Genomic DNA, 2,417 nt, shown 5'->3' with positions numbered 1-2,417 from the left:
CTGTGGTAAGTCCAGAGAGGCTGGGTCTGGACCTTATTAACTCCTGAAACTAGTCTTCCAGGGCATCCTTCCAGGGTAGAGTGCTGAACTGAGGAAAATTGCTTAGAGCAGCAGTCCCCAAACTTTTTGGCATCAGGGGCCAGTTTCGTGGAGGGGATGGTTTCAGGATGAAGCTATTCCACCTCAGATCATCAGGCCTTAGATTCTCATAAGGAGCAGAAAACCTCGAATGCACAGTTTACAACAGGGTTCCTGCTTCTATAAGAATTGAATGCCCACTGATCTGACAGGAGGCGGAGCTCAGGCGGTCATGCTGTCTGGGATCTGACAGGAGGCGGAGCTCAGGCGGTCATGCTGTCTGGGATCTGACAGGAGGCGGAGCTCAGGCGGTCATGCTGTCTGGGATCTGACAGGAGGCGGAGCTCAGGCGGTCATGCTGTCTGGGATCTGACAGGAGGCGGAGCTCAGGCGGTCATGCTGTCTGGGATCTGACAGGAGGCGGAGCTCAGGCGGTCATGCTGTCTGGGATCTGACAGGAGGCGGAGCTCAGGCGGTCATGCTCTCTGGGATCTGACAGGAGGCGGAGCTCAGGCGGTCATGCTGTCTGGGATCTGACAGGAGGCGGAGCTCAGGCGGTCATGCTCTCTGGCCCGACGCTCACCTCCTGCTGTGTGCCCAGTTCCTAGCAGGACACAGACCATACCAGTCCGCCGCCTGGGGATCGGGGACCCCAGCTTAGAGGATTATAACTGAGCGAGAAAATGACCATGGAAAAGAAAGAAAGAGAAAGTGGAGGAGAGGAATAGGGACATGACATGTCAAAAAGCAAGCTGCTGTATTTTTAAAAATGATACAAAACAACATAAAAGGGAGTTCTTTACAAGATAATAAAAAAGCTATTTGAAACAAGCCTCTTTCTAAAAATCCAGGAAAATTAAATTTACGTAAAAGCAACAGGAAAGCATGGAGGTCAAATTCCATACAAAGTTACTTTAAGAAAAAAGAGAATAAGAAGTAGAATAACATCTTGGTAAACAACGAAAACAAGATAAAAAGACATCCTGAGAAAACAGCAAAATTGTAAAGTATAATTTCAGAATAAGATAAGAGGTTTAAAAAAAGATATGAGACATAAAAGAACATAAATCATAATTGCCAACATTTCAGCAATGAGGTGAAAATTTTAAGAAATAATATAAATACAAAATGAAAATTTTAGAAATACAGACTTAAAAAAAAGGTTGAATGGACACAACTTATATTGCCTTAGGAGAAGCAGAAGTTAAAAAAGGAAAAAAATTAAAAAGACAATGAAGATAAGTGAAAGCATGAAAGTGACAAACACTTAAAACAGATAAAGACAACTGAATAGGAGATTGATGTGTGCAGTCAAAACAACAGATAATGACAAATACTAAAATTTGTGATCAATAACTTTCAATTAAGAAATAGATTTGAAACAATAAATCAAAATAACTCATTATAAACCAGGGAATATCAAGTGAAACAACTAAACTAAGACATATACTAGTAAAATTACTAAATTTTACAGAAAAAGAACAATAATAATTTGATGACTATCTAGGCAAAATAAGACATGGCTTATATAGAAAAGAAAATTAGATTATCATCAGCTTTTTTTTTTTTTTTAAGACACCAATGTTTTATGCCAGAAGAAAATGGAGTAACATGTTTAAAATACCCACGGTAAAGAAAAATGTGAGCCAAGGATTTTATAACTAGCAAAACTGGCCTTCGAGTACACAAACCCCAGACAAACAATTGTCAACGTTTAATAATCTAGGGAATTTTCTTTCCTGACTTCTTCCTACAGAATCACCTAGAGAGTAAACTTCAGAAAGCCAAAATGACTGCAGATAAATTGACATTATTCTAAGTAGAGAGAAATAAGTGTATACTTACTGGTGGAACTAATACTAAATGGATAAAAGAGACAGCATAGTATGAAATGGTTACAAGACATGACAATGTAGAAAAGTACAAGATAAAAATTGGAGAGACAATGAGCATACATACTTATATTTAAACTATTTTTAATAATCAAACTCAGTGGTAGTAGCCTAGTACTGTTATTCTGAGGCTTATTTGTGCAATGTGGGAAAGCAGTGAACCCTTTGGGGATATTGTAAATTAACCTCTGTGTCTTTGAGAGCCAGGATTCTTGGTATTAAAGAATGAAGTTAGATATTTAATTAGAAGAGGAGAAATATGAATGCTTTGACTTGAAGTTTAAATCAAAAACATTGGTAGGTCCTCAAGAAGTATTTTATCTTTAAATAGATAATTAAGTTACATATCTACCTGTCTATTATTCCTAGCTTTTTCTATTGAAAAGGCCTAACAATAATGACTAACCAGACAGCAATGAATGTCCTTAATGCCAAGACTGTGGCCTT

At 38.4% G+C, this 2,417-nt stretch overlaps 1 annotated feature.

The window, feature by feature from the left end:
- Window positions 256–371: a silencer, noted in NCBI's record as "fragment chr13:110141574-110141689 (GRCh37/hg19 assembly coordinates)". NCBI's record gives its function as "represses an EF-1alpha promoter that drives an FKBP-Casp9 reporter gene in an ReSE screen in K562 erythroleukemia cells {active_cell/tissue: K562}" and the evidence as "EXISTENCE:reporter gene assay evidence [ECO:0000049][PMID:32094911]".

Source organism: Homo sapiens, chromosome 13 (genome assembly GCF_000001405.40).
Source record: "Homo sapiens chromosome 13, GRCh38.p14 Primary Assembly".
NCBI classification, from domain to species: domain Eukaryota; kingdom Metazoa; phylum Chordata; class Mammalia; order Primates; family Hominidae; genus Homo; species Homo sapiens.
The sequence above is the reverse complement of the archived record's forward strand: the minus strand, read 5'-3'. Positions and strand labels throughout refer to the sequence as shown.